The 22026-nt window shown below is 41.3% G+C and overlaps 1 long non-coding RNA gene across 1 annotated transcript in view, besides 2 other annotated features; it reads right to left on the reverse strand.

The window, feature by feature from the left end:
- LOC124905248 (uncharacterized) overlaps positions 1 to 9566 on the reverse strand; it is a 32555-nt gene extending 22989 nt beyond the window's left edge. The window contains exon 1 of the long non-coding RNA XR_007068395.1: positions 9030 to 9566. This is a non-coding gene — a long non-coding RNA (uncharacterized LOC124905248). The remainder of the gene's footprint in view (positions 1 to 9029) is intronic.
- Positions 3351 to 3932: an enhancer, noted in NCBI's record as "NANOG hESC enhancer chrX:13432009-13432590 (GRCh37/hg19 assembly coordinates)". NCBI's record gives its function as "activates a minimal SCP1, AML or CMV promoter by ChIP-STARR-seq in primed H9 embryonic stem cells {active_cell/tissue: H9 hESC(primed)}" and the evidence as "EXISTENCE:reporter gene assay evidence [ECO:0000049][PMID:30033119]".
- Positions 17867 to 18384: an enhancer, noted in NCBI's record as "OCT4-NANOG hESC enhancer chrX:13446525-13447042 (GRCh37/hg19 assembly coordinates)". NCBI's record gives its function as "activates a minimal SCP1, AML or CMV promoter by ChIP-STARR-seq in naive H9 embryonic stem cells {active_cell/tissue: H9 hESC(naive)}" and the evidence as "EXISTENCE:reporter gene assay evidence [ECO:0000049][PMID:30033119]".

Here is a 22026-nt window from a genome sequence, read left to right on the forward strand (position 1 = left end):
GAGAATCGCTTAAACCTGGGAGGCAGAGGTTGCAGTGAGCCGAGATCATGCCATTGCACTCCAGCCTGGGCAACAAGAGCAAAATTCCGCCTCAAAAAAATATGTACATATAAAGAATTCATATAATTTAATAATTAAAGGTAGCTTAATAAAAAATGGGGGAGACTTGGACAGACATTCATGAAAGTACCATGACTAATAAACGTATCTTTTAAAAAGATGCTCAAAAGCTTTAAGCATCAGGGAAAATGCAAATTAAAACCACAATGAGATGGCACTACACACCCACTAAGATGACTAAAATTAAAGACTCAGACATTATCAACTGTTAGCAAGGATGTGGAACAAATGGAACTCTCATATTGCTGGAAGGAGTTTAAAATGATACAACCATTTTGTGGAACCCTTTGGCAGTTTCTTAAATGGTTAAACATATACCTACCCTATGACCCAGTAATTCCATCTATAGGTATTTATGCAAGATAAATGAGAGCATATGTGCACATAAGTCTTGTAGAAAAATATCCGTAGCAGCTTTATTTATAATAGCTAAAAATGAGAAATAGCTCAAATGTCCATCAAGAGAATGGATAAACAAACTGTGGTATATTCTTACAATGGCTTACTATTAAGCAATAAAAAAAGAACAAATTATTGATACATGTAACAACATGGACAAATTTAAAAACATGCTCAGCAAAAAAAAAAAAGACAAACACAAAAGAATTTATATTCTGTGATTCTGAAACCACCTTTGCAAAAATTGTAACAGTGAGAAAATCAGGACTGAAAAAGATCCGACCTAACCAACTCCATCTTGCTTCTAACCTCCAAGCTGTTCTTGTTCGTTCCTGGACATAGGCCGAACTAACTTGGGAGGAACTTAGTTTATAGTTTAACTTTGAAATAAAGATGTTAACAACCCTATTCTTGCCTGGGAACCAGACTGCCTTTGCAGGACTAACAAATTAGCCACAAGATTAGAAAATATGGTTTAGGAGTCATGCAGCCAGAGGCCACAAGATTCGAAACCTCCCCAGTTGCTCCTAGGGATAACATCACTACTCTAAAACCTAAGATTAATACTTGAGATATTTTTCAGGCCCTGCACTCGATGGATCAGCTGGCACCACCCAGATCAATAAACTGGCTCATCTGGTCTTGTGGCCTCCATCCAAGTACCAACTCAGTGCAAGAAGACAGCTTCGACCCCGTATGATTTAATCTCCAACCTGACCAATCAGCACTCCCTACTCCCTGGCCCCCTACCCACCAAATTATCCTCAAAAAAACCCAGTCTCCAAATTTTCAGGAAGACTGATTTGAGTAATAATAAAACTCTGGTCTCCCGTTCAGCCGGCTCTGCGTGAATTAAACTCTATTGTAATTCCCTTGTCTTGATAAATCGGCTCTATCTGGGCAGTGGGCAAAATGAACCCGTTGGGCGGTTACAATTGGATTTTTATGAAGCTCTAAAGCAGATAAAGCTAATCTGTGGTAATAGAATCAGATAAGTGGTTGCTTGGGGTTGGGGGTAGGGAGGTGTGGCTGTTACTAACCTGAAGTGGCAGGGGAGATGCTTTCTGGAGTGATTAGAAATGTTCTATATCTTGATGAGGCAGGTTACATGCATGTGTGCATTTGTGAAACTTATGAAAGTAAACATTAAAATCAGTATATTTCATTGTAAGTAAATTACGTCTCAGTAAAATGATCTCTTTAGCAACTCAGGTACTCTATTCAAGTAAAACTGAGTTATCTCGGTAAGGATGAATGACAGTTATCTCCCAGAGATGAATGATGCTAATGGCCTGGAGGTTTTCCTTTTGAGGTGTTGATGAAGTGGAGGACGATTCAACTGGGGCAGCAGCGGGTCGGGGGAGTTGGAGGGGGGAAGGGGGTTTCCCTCGTGTGGTAATGAAAAGCAAGCATTATTTTCCTTCAATTTTACAACATCATTTTCATGTCACATTTTCTAAACCAGCTATGTGTGCCGTTGGTTTGGCAAACGGGGTGAATAAAGTATTTCTAAGAACAAAATGAAAGGCCTGTGGTCTGTTTAGAAGTAGCCAATTGAATACTTCAAGAGGCAGAGTGAGGGTTAAGCTAAATTGCTAAACTGTGCATACTTAATTTCCGTCTTAAAAATAACACTCTCGGCCAGGCACGGTGGCTCACGCCTGTAATCCCAGCAGTTTGGGAGGTCCAGGTGGGTGGATCATGAGGTCAGGAGTTCGAGACCAGCCTGGCCAAGATGGTGAAACCGCATCTCTACTAAAAATACAAAAAAATTAGCCAGGCATGGTGATGGGCACCTGTAATCCCAGCTACTTGGGAGGCTGAGGCAGAGAATTGCTTGAACCCAGGAGGCGGAGGTTGCAGTGAGCCGAGATCACGCCACTGCTCTCCAGCCTGGGCGACAGAGCTAGACTCCGTCTCAAAATTATAATAATAATAATAATAATAATAATAAACCACTCTCAAAGAAGTCTTAACAGTTGCTATGGACAGATTTGCATATTCAAAATCCCATAATGATTCCTGAAATATTGATGATTTTATATTGATATATTCTTTTTTAAAAGACTCCAAATAATTAAAATGTTTTTAGAGCAGCTGGGAACACAAAGTGAAAATAACAATTGTTTGGCTTATGGTCTTGTGATCTTGCAAAAGATCATTGAATCCTATTGAAATCATTTCATGGGTTTGATTGCGTGTTTGACAAAGTGGCAAGGTCAATGCCAATTCCAATGAACCATCTTTCTTTTATTATTGTTTTCCATATGTCCATCTAGTAAAAGTTATCCAAGGGTACAATTTAAGGTTGAATTATAGCAGGAGTTGGTAAACTTTTTCTGTAAGGGTCAGACAGTTAATATTTTAGGATTTGTGGGCCATATGGTCCCTGTCACAACTATTCAACTCTGCCATTGTGGCATGAAAAAGCACCATAGAAAATATGTAAACAAATGGGCAGTGTGCTCCAGTAAAACTTTGTTTATGGACACTGAAATTAAATTTCATATAATCTAATGTCATCGAATTTTTAAAAATCATTTAATAATGTTAAAACGATTCTTAGCTTGAGGGCAATACATAACGAAGTGACAGGCTGGATTTGGCCAAAGAGTTGAGTAGTTTGCTAATCCCTGGATTAGAGCACTGATATTTTCTAGCAGAGTTATTTTTACTAAGTCATTTAACTTTTCTGAGATTTCAGTTTCTTTATCTATGCAACTGGAATTGCCAGATATACCTTAGAAGGTTGCTGAACATTAAATGAATATAATATGGAGGAGTTCTGTGTATTCTAGAAAGCACTTTAAAAATGAAATATTCGTGTTTTAAAGTATTATTATTAAATAACATTTATTGTCATAGTTAATACATCAGATATTCTTATACAGGTGATCAGCCATATTACTGTTACCGGAAAGGGGGTCTGAATCCAGACCCCAAGAGAGGGTTCTTGGATCTCGCACGAGAAAGAATTCAGGGCGAGTCCATGGTGCAAAGTAAAAGCAAGTTTATTAAGAAAGTAAAGGAATAAAAAGAATGGCTACTCCATAGGCAGAGCAGCCTCGAGGGCTGCTGTTTGCCCATTGTTATGGTTATTTTTTGATTACATGCTAAACAAGGGGTGGATTATTCATGCCTCCCCTTTTAAGATCATATAGGGTAACGTCCTGATGTTGCCATGGCATTTGTAAACTGTCATGGCGCTGGTGGGAGTGTAGGACAACCAGGGATCACTCTCATCACCATCTTGGTTTTTGTGCGTTTTGGCCGGCTTCTTTCCTGCAACCTGTTTTATCAGCAAGGTCCTATGACCTGTATGTTGTGCTGACCTCCAGTCTCATCCTGTAACTTAAAATGCCTTATTAGCTTTATTTTACCCAGCCCCTATCCAAGATGGAGTTGCTCTGGTTTAAACACCTCTGACATTACCATGATCATATCATCTAGGAAATGTAATTACAAACACTGGCAATAGATAGCCTGAGGCAAAACTACCCTAAATCAAATGAAATTTCATTTTTAACACAAGAAAGTGTGCACTATAACTCTCCATGTTCCTGTTTTCTCTCTCTCAGCTGGGTGGACAAGATCATTTAGGGAATTGAGGTCATTTAGAGAAATCAGACAAAAGTGAAGGATAGGTAAAAATTGAGTTGAATTGCTGTTTAAAATCTCTTGCTCATCAAGTTAAGCTGCAGTTTCCCTCCCCCGCTTAACCCCCTAGATCCTTTAGGAGAGAAAGGCCATCTGTTCTGAATGCTTCAGACATTTACCTGCCTCAAGGCAGGACAAGATGATCTCTTAATGCTTTTCTTCTGTCAGTGGTAGACATGACTATTATTAACAAAAATTAAATTGCTGACCACTGATGCGATCACTGCAAGTACTGCTGCTTCTTATATAATTTCTGTTTGGGGAATATCCAAACAGAAGAGTAAACTCGTTCAAAACCTTTCATGTCTTAATTTTGAAAGAGCTAGTTTTGCAAGTCATTAGAATGTATATAGATGGAAACTTCCCAGCCTCCTTCGTTATCTTCTGTTCTTCTTAGTCCCCTGGCTAGAAAAAGCCAATACAAACCAAGTAGAGGATGAAAAATGAATTCAATCTAGAGGCTCTTCAATTTACCCAGGAGCATGTAGAGCCTTGAGCACTGTAATTTAATACTATTATGTTTGGAGGATTGCTTTTAATGAAGTAATTATTTCACACTGAATGAATAAGTAACTTTAAAATCATGTGACTCCACATTTGATATCACTACTAACCTTTTTCCTTGCCTTCCCTTTGTTTCCTTCTGTGTTCAGCTGTAGAGCCACTTAAGCCAGAATCAATAGAATGGTTTTGTGATTGAAGACGGGTCTACAGGCCTCAGTCTCCCACAATCTAGGCTGAAAAGTTTATGAAAGCCTCCAGAGAGGGTCTCTACTATTATTTGCTGCACTATGTTGGGAAAAAAACACAAAAATGAGATCTTGATTACAAATGGTTTTTTTGATTACAAATTGTTTTTTGTGGCTTTTAACAAGCCTTGCTGATATTATTTCACAATTAGACAGTGGAATAAAGCTTTTTAAATGACGTCAATTCACGCTAGCCTTAGAGCTAGCATTTTTACATATTGGCTGTAAAGTAAAGAGTTTTGATTATGCACATTTCTACTTCAGCTAACGCCTTTTATGACAAGTTAATTAATCCTACAAGTCGTAACTAGTTAGTACAGGACTGATAAGAACTGTGGGAAACACATTAAGGACATATATTTGAGATAACAGTAGATAAGGGGGTGAAACGTTTCAGACATGTGGCCGACACAGGTTTGACCGTTAATATAAACAATATCTTGTTTATTTCAGTCCCTCCCAACCTACCCTCAGACTTCCCAGGGGATCCGCTGAGCTGAAAAAAGGTACAGAAAAACTCTCAAAAAGTGTTAAAGTCTACTTCCATTTACCTGAATTAAAAATATATGAAAAGAAGCCAGACACAAAAGGTAGCGTATTGATTGCCAAGGGATGGGCGGAAGATTTTGGGGGGAAATGGGAAGTGACTGCTAGTAGATACTGGGTTTCTTCTGGAGTTGATGAAAGTGTCCTAAAATTGATTGGGATGACAGTTGCATAACTCTGTGACCACAATAAAAGTATATTGAATTGTACCTTGTAAGTGGGTGAACTGTAGGCTACGTGAATTATATGCCAATGAGACTGTTATTAACAAACAAACAGACTGGGAGCATGAGTTGGAGTTACACTGCAGAAGACCTTGACTGCCATCGGAAGGCATTTGGATGTTTGGATGCTACCATTGTCATTGGTAGCCATTATATTTTCAAGGAGTAGGGTCACACAATCAGGTTCCTGTTTTAGAAAAACCACTGTCTTAGCGATATGGAGGGTGGGTGGAAGCAAGGAAAACTTGAAGCGGAGAAAGCAAGGGAACCTGCCAGATTTGTAGCAGAGATTTTTTCTGAAGGTATTAGTTCATGTTTTGTTCTCATGGTATGTTTTCTTCCATTTTGGGAAGGTTAACCCTCATCATGTCATTAGTCCAGAGAGGTATGTGTTGTGAGGCCAAGGGCAAAATTTGTTTGGAGACAGCTTTCCAAACAGCTACCCCTCCCCATCAATACTTGCTACTGTTGTCTATTTTAATACAGCCATCCAAGCGGGTGTGATGTGTTATCTCACTGTGGTTTTTATTTGCATTTCCCTAATGATTAATGATGCTAAGCATCTTTTCGTGTACTTTCTGGCCATTTTATATCTTCACCCTCCATCTTGCGGAAGTGGAAGTTTTACAGTTAGAAATTGATTCCTTTGGTCTCTCAAAGTGAAAATACCTAAGCCCAGTGGTTCTCAAGCTAGGCAATTTTTATATCCCAAGAAGGTTTCTGGATAAAATAAAGACACTCAGTTCAATTTAGATTTCAAATAAACAGTAACTAATTACTTAGTGTATCTATGTTCCAAATATTGCATGAGACATACATAGATTTATAAATTATTAGTTGTTACCGGCATCTAGTGAGCAGAGACCAGGTATGCTGCTAAACATCCTACAGTGAACAGGGAAGTTCCTCACAACAAAGAATGATTCTGCCCAAAGTGTCAGTAGTCATCAACCATTTAATGAGAATAAACTCTGATATTGTTTGGATATTGTTCTCTCCAAATCTCATGTTGAAATGTGATCCTCAATGTTGGAGGTGGGGTCTAGTGGGAGGTGGGGCTCGTGGGGGTGGATCTCTAATGAATGGCTTGGTGCCCTTCCCCCCGTAATGAGTTCAGCAGGATCTGGTTGTTAAAAAGAGACTACAACCTTCCTCTCTTCCCTTGCTCCCTCTCGCCATGTGATAGCTTGTTCCCTCTTCATGTTCCGCCATGATTGTAAGCTCCCTGAGGCCCTCACCAGAAGCAGATGTTGGTATCATGCTTCGTGTACACCCTGCGGAACCATAAGCCAATTAAACTTCTTTTTTTTATATACATTACCCAGTCTCAGGTATTCCTTTATAGCAATGCAAAACAGACTAATACAGACTCTATGAGGTTAATAGACTCTGCTAGGAGAAAGAGCTAATGGCCTCAGGGAAGGGAAAGCCTCTGGGTGAGAGTCAATTTAGTTGACGTCTTTTCTTTTCTTTTTTCTTTTCTTTCTGTCTCTTTCCTCCTTCCTTTCTTTTCTTTTCTTTTTCTTTTTCTTTTTTTTTTTTTTTTTTTGGAGAAAGGGTTTCACTCCATCACCCAGGCTGGAGTGAAGTGGCACCATCATAGCTCACTGCAGCCTCAACCTCCTGGGCTCAAGTGATCCTCCCAACCTAGCCTCCTGAGTAGCTGGGACTACAGGGGCAGGCCACCATGCCTGGCTAATTTTTTTTTGTTCTTCTTCTTCTTTTTGTAGAGATGGGGTCTCGCTACTTTGCCCAGACTGGTCTCAAACTCCTGGCCTCAAGAGATCTTCCCACTTTGGCTTCCCAAAATGCTGGGAAGGCAGGCATGAGCCATCTCCAGCCTCAACTTCTTTTTTTAACGATGCCTAAGGCCTATCCTGGCTGCTCTCTTGGAGAGTCATATATATGATAATAGCTCTCTGCAGGCAGAGAGGAGCCCACTTGTCCATCTGAGAAGTTACCACCAAACAGGCAGAGCCCCAAACAGTACCAGGTTCTCCATCCGTCTGCTGTTGCTGCAAACCAAAGCAGATCCTCTCGTGCTGGAGCAGAAAAAGACCCGAGGCCCCAGACCCCAACTCCTGAGACACAGGGATAAGGAGGCCCCCAGGCAACTCTGTTGGTGTGAAGTGGATCTGTTTGGTTTGAGCAGCAAATGAGCTGAATGACTATTGCTTCCTCTTCCTAGTCAGAACTGCTGACTCTGTACATTTTGCCATTGTCTCTCCATTTTCTCCTCTCTTACCCAAAACACATATTATAGTGGGTATCAAGCTAGCATTTATCAAATTCCTTTGTGTGTAGATCATTTCCAGTAATCTCATGAATGCCAGCTTCCAGTCCCTCATGGAGCAGAGATGAGAAGTTCGTAAACTTGATTAACTCCAAACCCCAGCACCCAGGTTCCTAGAATATTCCTTCTTAAAAACTGCCTCTGCTTTTTTTTTTTTCCTGCTTTGTACTTTATCTGTCCCCATGGTAAATTGGTTCATGTGAGAAATTCTGTGTGCAGGAAAATGGGCAATTCAATAATTCATAGGGCTTCCCCCTAACCATATGAAGTTGCCTTAAGCAGTTCTGTCAGAAATAATTTAACTGCTCAGAGCCATGTTCCAACTCCAAAGATGTCAGACAATCGTTTCCTTCCAGTGACGAAAACAAGCCCAAGGCTCATTCATCTAGAAAGTACTCCCTACGACTCATGCTATATACATTCTTTTGAGTGATTTGGAGACTTCTTGCACCAGTGTTTGTGGCCATGTTTCATTAGAATGTTCGGCTTTTGTTTGGCTTTTGTTTCAGGAACCTATCCCAGAAAGCTGAGAGGATACCCAGAATGAGAGCTGTGTTTTAAAAATGAGTATCAGGTCAAATTGCTATGGAGGAATTGAAGAATGATTGGTGCTATGCATGTAATTTTTTCAAGAAGATAATTTATGATTTCTGTTTTTTAACCTTGCTTTTTTCCCTTCAATTCGACATTTTGTGCCTGGCTGCCTTAGAGGTCTCGTGTTTCTGTGGTATATTTGGACTACATATTGAGGGCCCAGAGGCAAAAGTTAGAAATAAATAACGTCTGTACTATGCAGAAAAGAAGCAGAGCTCTGCTCCAAAGAACTGCTCATAAGCAGGTAATTATTTCTTCTAGAGAATGGAACAATCTATGAGGCATGAAAGTTGTTACATAAATCAACTATCTCTGCTCCCACTGGCTTTCTCTTCGTGACAGCCACACCCACTCGGTGCAAAAGTGGTGCTGAATCAACTTCTATGGAGACCGAATTACAGAGTCAATGTATGCACTGTGGGATCATGGGCCTGTGCGATCACTTACCTTGGCAATAACTTTCTACTCCACGTGAACTCTTCAGCCCCCGTATCACTGTTTTAGGACTTGCCAAAACTAAGAATAACTCCTCGTTTGTCTTGACGGCACCTTCCTTTTATTCTAAAATGATGAAAATTACCGGACGCCAGGAGAGAAGAGTGTTGTCCCTTTATCCTCCATCACATGAAGCGTCACTAACATGAAGTGCTCTTGCCTCTGCCAAAAGGTGGTATTCTTCCGTGTGTAAAGAGTCCTGGGCGGTGGAGGAGATGACTCCCTCCGCACGGGGCCTGATGATAGGGTTTGCCCACTCCCAAGAGTAAGGCTATGGCCCCAACCTGACACACAGTGCCAAAGGCCAGGGGTGGTGCATCTCCTTTCACTACTCCTGCGTCCATAGGTAGAGAGATTATTTTGGTCTCGATGTTTACTTTTCCACAGACCACAGGGCGATAACTACACAAATCAATTTTAGTCCACATCAGAATCTACCCTGCCAGGAAAGAAGTTCTTGACATTATCTGTCACAGTAATCGAAGCATGTCCGTGTTTCCTCATTTTAATTTGAATATCGCCTCCACGTTGCAATGTTTCCAACTCGGTCCCTGAGCATGAAACCACCTGCTTGGGTTTTAATTTATGTTATATCCTTTTAGTTCACCCCCTTCCACATGCAGCGAGCAGAAATAAAAATCTGGCCACCTGCAAAGGATTCTTCCTTAACTGTACATAAACCTGCCACCTTTATATAATAAAAGAAAAAATGATTGTGCACTTTAAAAGCCTGGTAAAGACAAGAGGAGCTCAGAGAAGGGGCTCACCCCCAGCCCGCAGTCCCTACTCACTTGCAGTCCCCATCCATCTCCCAAAGAGATGCTATCTGCCAGTGAGCAGGGCGAATTGAAAATGGGATAATGACAAGACTGTGGGAGGAGGCGATTTCCAAGATCAGTTCCACTGAGACAGACTGTGAAACCCCTGGGGCTATTATGACCTCTAACTAAAAATGGTGGCAATGGATCTCTCTGGGCCTGTATGTTCTTGTGCATAAGGCACCTTACTCAACACAATAGACAATGATCAGACAAGGACAGTGTGTGCATTTCAAGAAGCCTACTTCCAACACTGCCTCAACAATCTGTTATTTTTAGAACATGACTAGGAATTGTCTTCAACTGCCCAATTTCTGTTTCCTTCTAATCAGCCTCTTGAAAGACAGTACTGTATTCCTAAAGCAGAATGTTAGAAGCACACAGAATACTAGGAGGGACAACACAGTCATTGTTAGGAGGGCTTAAAAGAAAGAAAGGGCTGGGGATAGTCTTTGGGCCTGTTTTGGCAGGTACCACGGTTCAGGAGTCAGGTAGGTAAAAGTTTACCAGTTGGAGAACTTTCTGTTGTGCTGAGGGCCATCACGCAAGGTCTGAAAACGGAACAAGCCTGGGAGTAGATGTGCTGTGTATACAGCAATGTGGAAATCACAGCCACAGGCGAAGCATTTGCCTGTAATGACCATACTTGCTCAGTTTGCCATAACATACATAACATATGTAAATTAGCACTTAATACACACCCATTAGGGACAAAGATCTGAAGTTGTGTGGACTCTAAATGGAAAAGGTACTATGATTGAAAAATAATAGTCTAGGGCTTGGCACGGTGCCTCACGCCTGTAATCCCAGCACTTTGGGAGACCCAGGCGGGTGGATCACCTGAGGTCAGGAGTTTGAGACCAGCCTGGCCAACATAGCGAAACCCCGCCTCTACTAAAAAATATAAAAAATTAGCTGGGCATGGTGGTGGGCGCCTGTAATCCCAGCTACTCGGGAGGCTGAGGCATGAGAGTTGCTTGAACCCAGGAGGCGGAGGTTGCAGTGAGCCAAGATTGTGCCACTGCACTGCAGCCTGGGTGGCCTGGGTGACAGAGACTCCATCTCAAAAAAAAGAAAAGAAAAGAAAAGAAAAATAATAGTCTAGCCAAGAGGGCAAGATTAAAAGAAATAAGCACACACAGTCATAATACACATCAACAAGTATATGATCATTTACTGTTGGCAAGGTCCTTGGGACTCAACCTACAAAGACCCACTTATTGAAGAAGAAACTGGGACATTTTTGGTTCTCCATTACTTTACCTTGCAAGGTTTAATGGGATAGCCTAAGAAGAAAACCCAATAATCCTAGAAATCACAAGGACTGTTGAGAGAAAAGGGCATTTCAAAATGGCCACATTCTCTCTGGTATGTTTCCTAATTTGTTTCCAGATTTATTTTTATTTCTAAAGGTTAATTAGAAATTACATGTGCATTTCAAATTTGCTTAGAATGTAAGCTGCCAAAGGGCAAGGATGCTTTCATTTTCTCTTTCTGTAACTCTTCCTTGTATGAGGACTTATCTCCGTATCTAGCAAATAATAAGGGTTATCAAGCAAAAGACAGTACACTGCAAGGAAATGCATTCTAGAGACTCATACTTCTGCACTTACTTTATTTTTTAAAATTCTGTACTCTCAGGCCCTAAAATCCCATCCACTGAAATGGGATCTAGAAGCATTGAGGCAGTGTCCCGTACTGGGTGCAAAGACTTGGTGGGAGGCCCTGAGAAGCTAGGGAAACTCAAGGACTGTGAGTGTCTGCCAGTGGGCAGAGAATGCTGCAAGATCAGAGCATCAAAACCAACTGAGCATGTTTCTTGTAGAATCTAAAATAGTCAAACTCTTAGAAGTAGAATGTAGAATGATGGTTGCTAAGGTGGGGGGAAAGTGGGGAGATGTTGGTCAAAGGCGATAAAAATTCAGTTATACAAGTTGAATAAGTGCTCAGAGTCTAATATACAGTAGAGTGACTACTGTGCTGTCACAATACTGTGTTATATACTTGAAATTTGCTAAGAGGGTAGATATCAAGTGTACTCAGCGAAAGAAAGAAAGAAAGAGAAAAGAGAGAGAGAGGGAGGGAGGGAGGAAGGAAGGAAGGAAGGAAATGAAAAGAAAGAGAAAGAGAGGAAGGAAGGAAGGGAGGGAGGGAGGAAGGGAGAGAGAGAGAGAGAAAGAAAAAGAAAGAAGAAAGAAAGAGAGAGAGAGGGAGGGAGGGAGGGAGGGAGGCAGGGAAGGAGAGAGGGAAAGAAGGAAAAAAAGAAAATATGTGAGGTGATAGATAAGTGAATTCGGTTGATTGCAATGATCATTTCACAATGTCTACATGTATCAAAACATCAAGTTGTGTATCTTAAATATATATAATCCCTATTTATGAACTATACCTCAATAAAGCTCCCCAAAACATCAAGTGAGCACATTTCTTTACAATTTTCTCCAAAACCAGCCCTGCCTTAAGTCAGAAGCTCTGATATGACACTTTGCCAAACCAACACCAGGGATTCACCAGCCTCCATTCCCTCTTCTACACACTGGCAGGGCACACTGAACACCGATAGCTAATAGGCCACTCTCTCTGTCACCCTTGAGAATTTCTCTCTCACCAGTTGGGCTGTATGCTTACTTCAAATCAGTTGTAGAATTTGTTCTCACAGCTGTGTAGGCCAGTTGTACTTGTCACTTGAATTCTGTAATTTTATTAAAACTGGTAGTTTGTGATGGTATGGTGGTTTTCAGGCAGGCAGGCCAAGCAGCAGGAAGCACACATCATGCACCACACAGAGGAGGACTTGGAAACAGAGGCAAAATGTATGGCAGCCCAGCCTAACAGCTCAGAAGAGACACGGTCTAACTACTCACTCATCTCTGCAGCGGATTCCAACAGTCCCCAGGAAAGCTGAAGACAACACTACAAGGGCATCTTCTAAGGCCTCCATGTCTCCACCACTCTTTCCAGCATCTTTAAAAACCACCAGGAGGGAGCTCTGTCACATACCCTGGAACAAGGATTTGAGAATCAGATTGAGGGCCCCAAATTTAAAACTGCATGAAGTCATATGGTTGATTGGAACTTGTTAAAAAAAAAAAAAGTAACTTTTCTTTGACTTACAAATTACAGAAGAACATTGGTGTTTATAAAAATGACTAATTAATTCATAGCTGTCACTTGAAAACACTCAAAGGGGAAAGGTCTGTGTTTGCATTTTGAAAATTTAAAACAGCGAAATTTTTAGGATGCTAATCCAAAGCTCCATTAAACCAATATTAATGAACATTTCAGCAAGATCGTGTGATATTTCTTAAAGAAAATGGCATTAGAGGTTTTTTTTTCCACATTCAGTATTAAATGTAAAAATAGTATGTCAAAGCAATAAATAGCAGAAAATCATTCTGAGTTTAATTTTATCTCACACGTATGTGAAATAAATGAAGCATGATGTGACAATCCAATGTTATCTATCGTGGAGAAAGAAAAATAGATCTTGGTAGAATCTTGAGTATTTAAAAATGATCGTTAAAATATGAATATGTCATAGACATTGTACTCAGATTTTAAATGTTCCACCGTTAGCTACTTACATGCCCTCCATTATTAAAGTGCCCTTGGAGTTAGAAATGGAAATATGCTTTTAGGATTATCATCTATTCCTGGGAGGCATCGCAGAATTGTTATTTCCAAAATGTTTCCTTGTTCTTGGTGCACTGTAGAGTCTTTTAAGAACAAAGAGTTATTCTCAATTCAGGCTGGACTAAGCTGCACCAACTGAACTCTCGCATTATTTCAGAAATTCTGTATTCAGTGGGGAGGATGGAACAAAATAATTAGGATATGGGGCCCAGAGACCTTCCGGGAAAGATATTCTTGCTGTGTTCTACAGCTTTTTCTGCTGCTTTATTTTTCTCTCTTTTACAATTCCTCCCACCCACTCTTCATGCCAGCAAACAGATGATCCGGGAGAATAAGAATATTGTATGATCACTCGTTAATTTACTTCGGATTGCTTTCCAGGCACCACAAGTCTGACCGCTCAGGGGTTTCCAGTGAATTTTTGGCAGCTACTAAGCACAGTTAGTTGCCTATAAGAACTACTGATTCTGCTTCGTTTTACACACCACATATGACAGGGCATAACTCACCATGACTGGCTTACATTTAGGCTACTCTGTATTGAATCAGACACTATTTATCACTTTCAAGTTCTAATTTCTGCATCGTGCATATGGTTATTTAAACCTATATAGTTCAATGAAAATGCTCCCATCCTGTACAGACTAGCCTAAAGGGGCACTACATGCAATGATACCAGAGGGTAAAAACATGGCACTGGCTCTTTTTTTAAATGACTAGTTTGAAATGGAGGCAATTCATTAATTCAACATTTATTGAGTGCCTACTAGGCAGCAGGCCATAAGTTAAACTCTGGGGATTTTTAAAAAGGAATGCCTGGTAGCTGCAGTAGCTAACATACATCACATTTATGCTTTATGCAAATTCATAATCCAGCTAAGAAATAGACACACGGCCGGGCGTGGTGGCTCACCCCTGTAATCCCAGCACTTTGGGAGGCCGAGGCAGGCAGATCACGAGGTCAGGAGATCGAGACCAGCCTGACTAACACGGTGAAACCCCGTCTCTACTAAAAATACAAAAAATTAGCCAGGCATGGTGGCGGGCACCTGTAGTCCCAGCTACTCCGGAGGCTGAGGCAGGAGAATGATGTGAACCCCGGAGGCGGAGCTTGCAGTGAGCCCAGATCACGCCACTGTGCTCCAGCCTGGGTGACAGAGCGAGACTGTCTCAAAAAAAAAGAAATAGACACCCATGCAAGTGTATTGGTGAAAGTGGTATGAAACAAATGCCCACAAAGAGCCCAGAGGAGGGAGGGACATTGGGACCAGGCCTTTGTTGCCTTCATATATGAATCTTTTTGCAGACGTGTTTTCATTTAAAATAGCTGGGTCAAGTGGTAATTTTATTAGAAACTGCCAAACAATTTTCCATGGGGCTGTACCATGTTAAATTCCCACCACAGTATATGAATTCCAGTTGCTCCACATCCTCACCAACACTTGACATTGTCAGACTTTAAAATTTTACCCATTCTCATGTATGTAGTGATATCTTGTGGTTTTACTTTACATTTTTCTATTACCAGCTATGTTGAATACCATATTTACATGCTCGTTGGCCATTTGGATATCCTATTTTATAAAGTGCCTGTTTAAATCTTTTGCCCATTTTTAAATTGGTTTTTGTCCTCTTTTATTGATTTAGAGAAATTCTTTATATATTCTGGTTATAAATCCTTTTTGGATGTATGTATCGCAAATATCTTCTTCCAGAAATGAATATTCTTTTGTACTCAGTAAAGAAAAAAAAACAAAAACAAAACAAAAAAACTTCAGGGTTTTTTTGAGCAAGCACTGTTCATAAGGATAGAATAAATTCTGGCCAGGCGTGGTGGCTCATGCCTGTAATCCCAGCACTTTGGGAGGCTGAGGCGGGTGGATCACAAGGTTAGGAGATCGAGACCATCCTGGCTAACACAGTGAAACCCAGTCTCTACTAAAAATACAAAAGATTAGCAGGGCGCGGTGGCGGGCGCCTGTAGTCCCAGCTACTCCGGAGGCTGAGGCAGGAGAATGGCGTGAACCCGGGAGGCGGAGCTTGCAGTGAGCTGAGATCGCACCACTGCACTCCAGCCTGGGCGACAGGGCGAGACTCTGTCTCAAAAAAAAAAAAAAAAAAAAAAAAAAAAAACCAGAATAAATTCTGCAGGTTTTCTTTACTGACTGCCCAACATACCTACATATGCCATAAATGATATGAAAATCTGATGCGTGATAAGAGACTGAGATTTAATCACGTGTTTGGTGGCTATTCAGTCATGGTCATAGTAAGTGTTGAACACATATTTGTTGAATAAACTAATAATTGAAAAAAGTGCTTTTTAAAACTGAAATTTACTTAAAACTAAGCCTCCTAAGTGGAAAAGTACCATCACAGCAGAAATCTGGAAATTATTTTTTAATGAAATCATTTGTTCAATAAATATCTGAGGGTCTAAGAAGCGCAGGATACTTTTGTTAAGCTCTGTAGGGGATGTAAGAAACATAAAAACAATTATTTTCTTTGAATAGCAACTTACAATTTATAAAATGCCCCTAGAAATTGTATTTGAACTTGAAAACTAGCTTCTTGGCCAGGTGTGGTGGCTCACACCTATAATCCCAGCACTTTGGGAGGCCAAGGCAGGAGGATTGCTTGAGGCCAGGAGTTCAAAACCAGCCTGGGCAACATAGTGAGACCCTTTCTCTATAAAAAGTTAAAAACATTAGTTGGGCATGGTGGCATGCCTGCAGTCTCAGCTACTTGGAAGGCTGAAGTGGGAGGATCACTTGAGCCCAGGAGTTCGAGGTTGCAGTGAGCTATAACCACACCATTGCACTCCAGCCTAGACAAGATTGCAACCTTGTCTCTCCATAAAAAAAGAAAAGAAAGAAAGAAAAAGAAAACTAGCTTCTCAAATTCTGCATTGCTTACTTGTTAATTCAAAAAGATATTTATCATGTGCCTACTATGTGCCAGAACTAAAGTTTTAGGACAAGGTGGACAGTAAATAAATACCTGAATGATGTGATTGCACTAAAACCATAATCTCCCATCCCTCCAACAGTGTTAACCACCTGCCTCCATGATGCTTGTGAACTTTGGACAACCCTCTTCTTCGTTTGCTTTAATTTTACTTGTTTTTTCAAGTGATACCTTCACGTGGTTCAAAAATAAAAATGGTATAAAAAATATATATTGAGAAGTCTTACTAGCATCCATAAGCTGGTCTGTCCTCCACCCTATTGCCTCATTCCTTTTATTAGTTTCTTGCATATACTTCCAATGTTTCTTTATGGAACTATGTACAAACACATATATGTTCTGATTTCTCCCTCATTCTTACATAGAGTTAACATGTTACATGCTGTTATATAAATGGGCTAAAGGTGGGGGGCCCTGGATATTGGTCCCCATGTTGTTTACATCTTCACAGCAGGCTAGGACAATTAGCTCAAAGCCCTCTGGCACTAAACTCAAATTCATATACATCTGATTGCCTTAAATGTAGCCCAAATAACCATATTTTTAGCTATTTAAAGCCTGCCTGTCTTGCACATCCTATGAAGCTGTACCCAACATCTGCTAGCCATAGATAAGATGAACCTTGGGGATACGAAAGACACCAAGCCACTGCTGCCGATTCAAGCTCTCTGACCCCAAAGACTCCCCATCTTGTTACTGGGTAACATCATCTACCTGCAGGAGGCACTTCTCCGATTTCCCTCTCCCCTGGGAATGCCCTTGTTCTCTTCCTCTTCTGGGTGGTGGCTCCATGCTGCTCTTTCTGGAAGGTCTCCTGCTGTGAAGAACTTCACTCACGTATGCTAACCAAGCACCACCCAAACAAAGTTCATTTGTGCTACTGTCATTTCGTGGTCATGTCCTTTCCTTGATCAGCTCTGAATCCTCTATCTCACCACATATACTCTGCCTTTTCATTTTGATTTTTTTTAACTTAACAATATATTCTGGGGAAGACTCCTTCACTCTTTTATACAGCTGCAAATTACTCCACTGCATTTAACCAGTCCCTCCTGATGTTCGCTTGGATTATTTCTAGTCTTTTGTTATTACAATGATGCTGCAATGAATCACCTTGCACATTCATCATTTTGTTCATGTACAGGCAGATCTATAGGATAAATTCCCGGAAGATGGATTGCTGGGTCAAAGAGTAAACAAACACATTTGTATTTTTGAAAAACATTGGCAAATCATTCCTTTTAGCAACCATGCATGAGATTGTCTGTTTTCCCATAGCCTCACTATTTACCAGTCTGTTAGGTAAAAATAAACAAACTTCTAGTCTTGGACTCCTTACACAGTAAAGATTGTTAATATAATATTTGTTAACATGCCTATCTCTGCCACTGAATTGTGACACCCTTAAAGTCTGGAACCATTTCTTACTCATCTTCATAGCCTGTTGCTTAGCTAGCAAAGTTCTTTGGACAGAATAGCTTCTGCCACTTCCCTCTCTCCCCCGCAAAAACATATTTACTGAGTTGAATCAATCACCACTTTAGCCTAGAGAGGCCCCCCTCAGACCTTCCCATTGTGGTATGTGCTGCCCCACTTTCAGCTGACTGCCAATTTCCTCTCGAGGCTGGGCCTGCTCAGCCCACCCACAGAGGGAGGAGAGCCTGAGATTGAATGCACCACCGTCCCAGCAGCTCTCAACCAATGCCTGAAGGGAGATGGTGTTTAAATAGCCAGCAAGCTCTTCCTTTGGGGGTGTACCTCTGAGGCATGGGGTGGTCTATGCTGAGAGCTCTTCGTGGGATGAAGCCCTGTGGTCCCTTTGTCCATAGCAGGAAGTAGCTTGATAGTGTATCTTTTAAGGGCTTCCCTGCCTTTCCTTCCTTTCCAGGCTCACCTTCTCACTCCATTATTGGAGTTTCCTTCAATCACCTCCCAAGTAAATGACTAGCACTTTATCAGGGTCTTTTTTGGGGGGAACTGAAATAAAGACAATACCTTCCCTTTTCTTTCTTCTTCTTCTTTTTTTTTAATAGGGTCTCACTGTGTCACCCAGGCTGGAGTGCAGTGGTACAATCACAGCTCACTGCACAGCTCACTTCGCCTCCCTAAATCTAGTGATTCTCTAGCCTCAGCCTCCCGAGTGTCTGGGACTACAGGTGCATGCCACCATGCCTGGCTAATTTTTTTGATTTTTAGTAGAGATGAGGTATCACTACATTGCCCAGGCTGATTTTGAACTCCTGACCTCAAGCAATCCTTCCACCTTGGACTCCAGCAATCCACCCACCTCGGCCTCCCAAAGTGGTGGGATTACAGGCATGAGCCGCTGTACCTGGCCAGCTTTCTTTATCAAATGAAGAAACCTAAATACTGAGAAAATAAGTGAAGTGCTCATGGCACAGCTAGTGAGTGAAGAAGCATATTCCCTGGCTCCTAGAAATGTGCTGTTTTAGAAAATGGAATTTCTCTTTATGGATGATAAGTACAACCACTGAGACATGAAAGAGCAATGGAAGAAGTGTGTGTGTGTGTGTGTAAATCAATAACAGCACAAGGTTACATAAAATGAATAGTAAATAAGCGAAACAGCTCTCACCTATGGTGCATATTATGAGCCAGGCAAGTACTTTTTGTGTGTTTCTTCATTTAACACAAAACTCTACAAGTTAGATGCATTATTATCATCATTCCCAGATCACAGATGAAGAAAATTAAGATACTGAGAGTTTAAGTAACTTGCCAAAGCTCACACTTGCCAAGATCTGACTCCTGGATTTGTGCTCATAACCATCAAACTATACTGTCTGCAGGGGCCGGCCAGAGAAGTTCTAGAAGTGACAGATTACCCTTGGCTTTTGGCAGCAGGGGTCTTGAAGAAAGAACATGGGATTATGACTAATTAAGGACTAATTCTTCCTAGGGCCATCAAAGAACTCATTTGTGTCAGTTAGAATATTTTCCAGGGCAGAAACTAAATATCCAACTAAAAATGACTTAAACAACAGGGGTCTACTGAAAAATCTCACATAATAAGAGGTCTGGAGGCAGGAGGTTCCAGACTTGGTTAATTCAGCAGTTAAATGACTTCAAAGCAGCAGTGACTCACATATTCATTCTTTATTTTCCATCCAATTCCATCTTCTTTGTAGTTCTCTTGATCCTCTGTCATGGTCTTGCAATGGCCCCCCTCAGCTCCAAGTAGCAAATATCAGAAAAGGAGGGAGGAACTTTGTCCCAGAATCCCTTAGCAGGTATTCTCTTTGGTCCCATTGGCCACGAATGGGTCACCTGCTCTAGACACAGGGGAAGCTGGGAAAGTGAGTCTTTGGCATTCTCTGTCTCCAGCATGGGAGGCAGGTTCTGCTAGAAACAAAAAAGCGGAAGGATACTGGCAGTGGGAAGGCAACCAATCTTGATGCCATATAGCTTAAATCCCACGTTGAAGCCTTCTTCTTGGCTGTGCTGTTTGGAAAAGCCAGAACCCAACAGCTTTGCAAAGATAATCATGGGAAAATAATTCGAGATGATACTCAGGTTCTGGCCAGAGATGACACCATCCGATGATGTCATATTTCACAGCAGGATACCAGACAGGCCAGAAACCAGGACCTGAAGCAGTCAGTGCCTATTCTGAACAGAGAGGCACTACATTGACCATATTTGGGAGGCCTCAGAGAATGGCTTCCACATCCAGACCAGAGCCAGGACAACTGGGATTGCTGGGCTCAGCCATATTTGATGAGTGTTTATTCTACTTATGGCAGCGTATTAAGCATTTTGGGGAAGGGGTGATGCCGAGATATCAGATGTGCATCCTGACCTCGAGAAACAAATAAAAAATCTAATAATAAACATCAACTGAGCACTATCTGCCAAGTCTGTTTAAAGCAACTTACATATCTCTAGACACCTTAAATATACGTCAAATCTTCACAGTAACCCTATGAGATAGGTTATATTTATGATCCTTATTTACCAATATGGGAACTGAGGCCAGGAAGGAAACTGAGGCATGGAGAGTTTAAGCAATCTTGAGATTGTTACCCAAATATTTGCTGTAAGGACACACCACATAGGCGCTCCCAGGAGTGCTTAAAACATTTTCTCTAAATTTACGGTGATGAATTCGTCCCAGGTTGCTTGGGACTCTCCCAGTTTTAGCACCGAAGTCCATGTACTGGGACAACCCTCAGTCCTGGGCAAATAAGAATGGTTGGTCATCCTACAAATTATAGGCACACTCAATCTAGATTGCCCTGACAACCCAATTAATGGATAATGGAAAAGGAAAAGTTAGAGAGAGTTTTCCCTGCATAGTCAATTCCCATAACAAAAGCTCCTGTAGTCAGAATAAAAGAGTTTCCTTAAACATTGGGTTTTCTTGGAATCAAGAGATTATTCTACCCAAGGGGTAGAAGAAGAACTACCCAAGGGGTTCTTCTTACCCACTGCAATAAGAAAGACCATGGCGTGTAGTAGAGAGTTTAATAGACACAAAGCTGGGCACGCCACGTGGGATGCAGAGTTAGTACTCAAATCATTCTTTTCCAAAGCTTGTAGGTTAGGGATTTTTCTTTTTTTCTTCTTTTTTTTTTTTTCGAGACAGAGTCTTGCTCTGTCGCCCAGGCTGGAGTGCCGTGGCGCGATCTCAGCTCACTGCAAGCTCCGCCTCCTGGGTTCATGCCATTCTCCTGCCTCGGCCTCCCGAGTAGCTGGGACTACAGGCGCCTGCCACCACGCCCGGCTAATTTTTTGTATTTTTAGTAGAGATTTTTCAAAGGCAGTTTGAGGGAAAGGGTGGGGGTGGCCAGGTAAGGGATGCCTGCTGCTGATTACATGTTGAAATAATATTCCAGATATATTGGGTTAAATGAAATATTCTAGATATATTGGGTTAAATGAAAGATATTATTAAAATTAATTTTACCCATTTGTTTTACATCTTTTAATGTGGCTATTAAACAAATAAAATTACATGCATGGCCGGGCACACTGGCTCACGCCTGTAATCCCCGCACTTCGGGAGGCCAAGGCGGGTGGATCACCTGAGGTCAGGAGTTTGAGGCCAGCCTGGCCAACACGGTGAAACCCTGTCTCTACCAAAAATACAAAAATGTGTTGGCACACACCTGTAATCCCAGCTACTTGGGAGGCTGATGCAGGAGAAGCACTTGAACCCAGGGGGCAGAGGTTGCAGTGAGCCCAGATTGTGCCACCGCACTCCAGCCTGGGCAACAGAGCCAGACTGTCTTAAAAAAAAAAAAATTACATGTATGGCTCACAGTATATTTCATTGGACAGCACTCTTCTAAAAAGACACTTCTAGAGAGTATGTCTCTATTAAGAGGGTTTCTCTTTGTGTAATATTGTTTACAAAACCAAGTTAAACATTAATTAGTTAAAATTCTGTAAACCGTGAAAAGGCCTCAAGGAGATTTGCAAAGGGAATCTCCTTGTCTTGGAGGTGTTGTCTTGAAGCTGCTTAAGCAGAAATGCTGCCCAGAACACACTCATGCTTTCTTGTGACCAGT

The sequence above is a fragment of the Homo sapiens genome, chromosome X, assembly GCF_000001405.40.
Source record: "Homo sapiens chromosome X, GRCh38.p14 Primary Assembly".
Taxonomy (NCBI): Eukaryota; Metazoa; Chordata; class Mammalia; order Primates; family Hominidae; genus Homo; species Homo sapiens.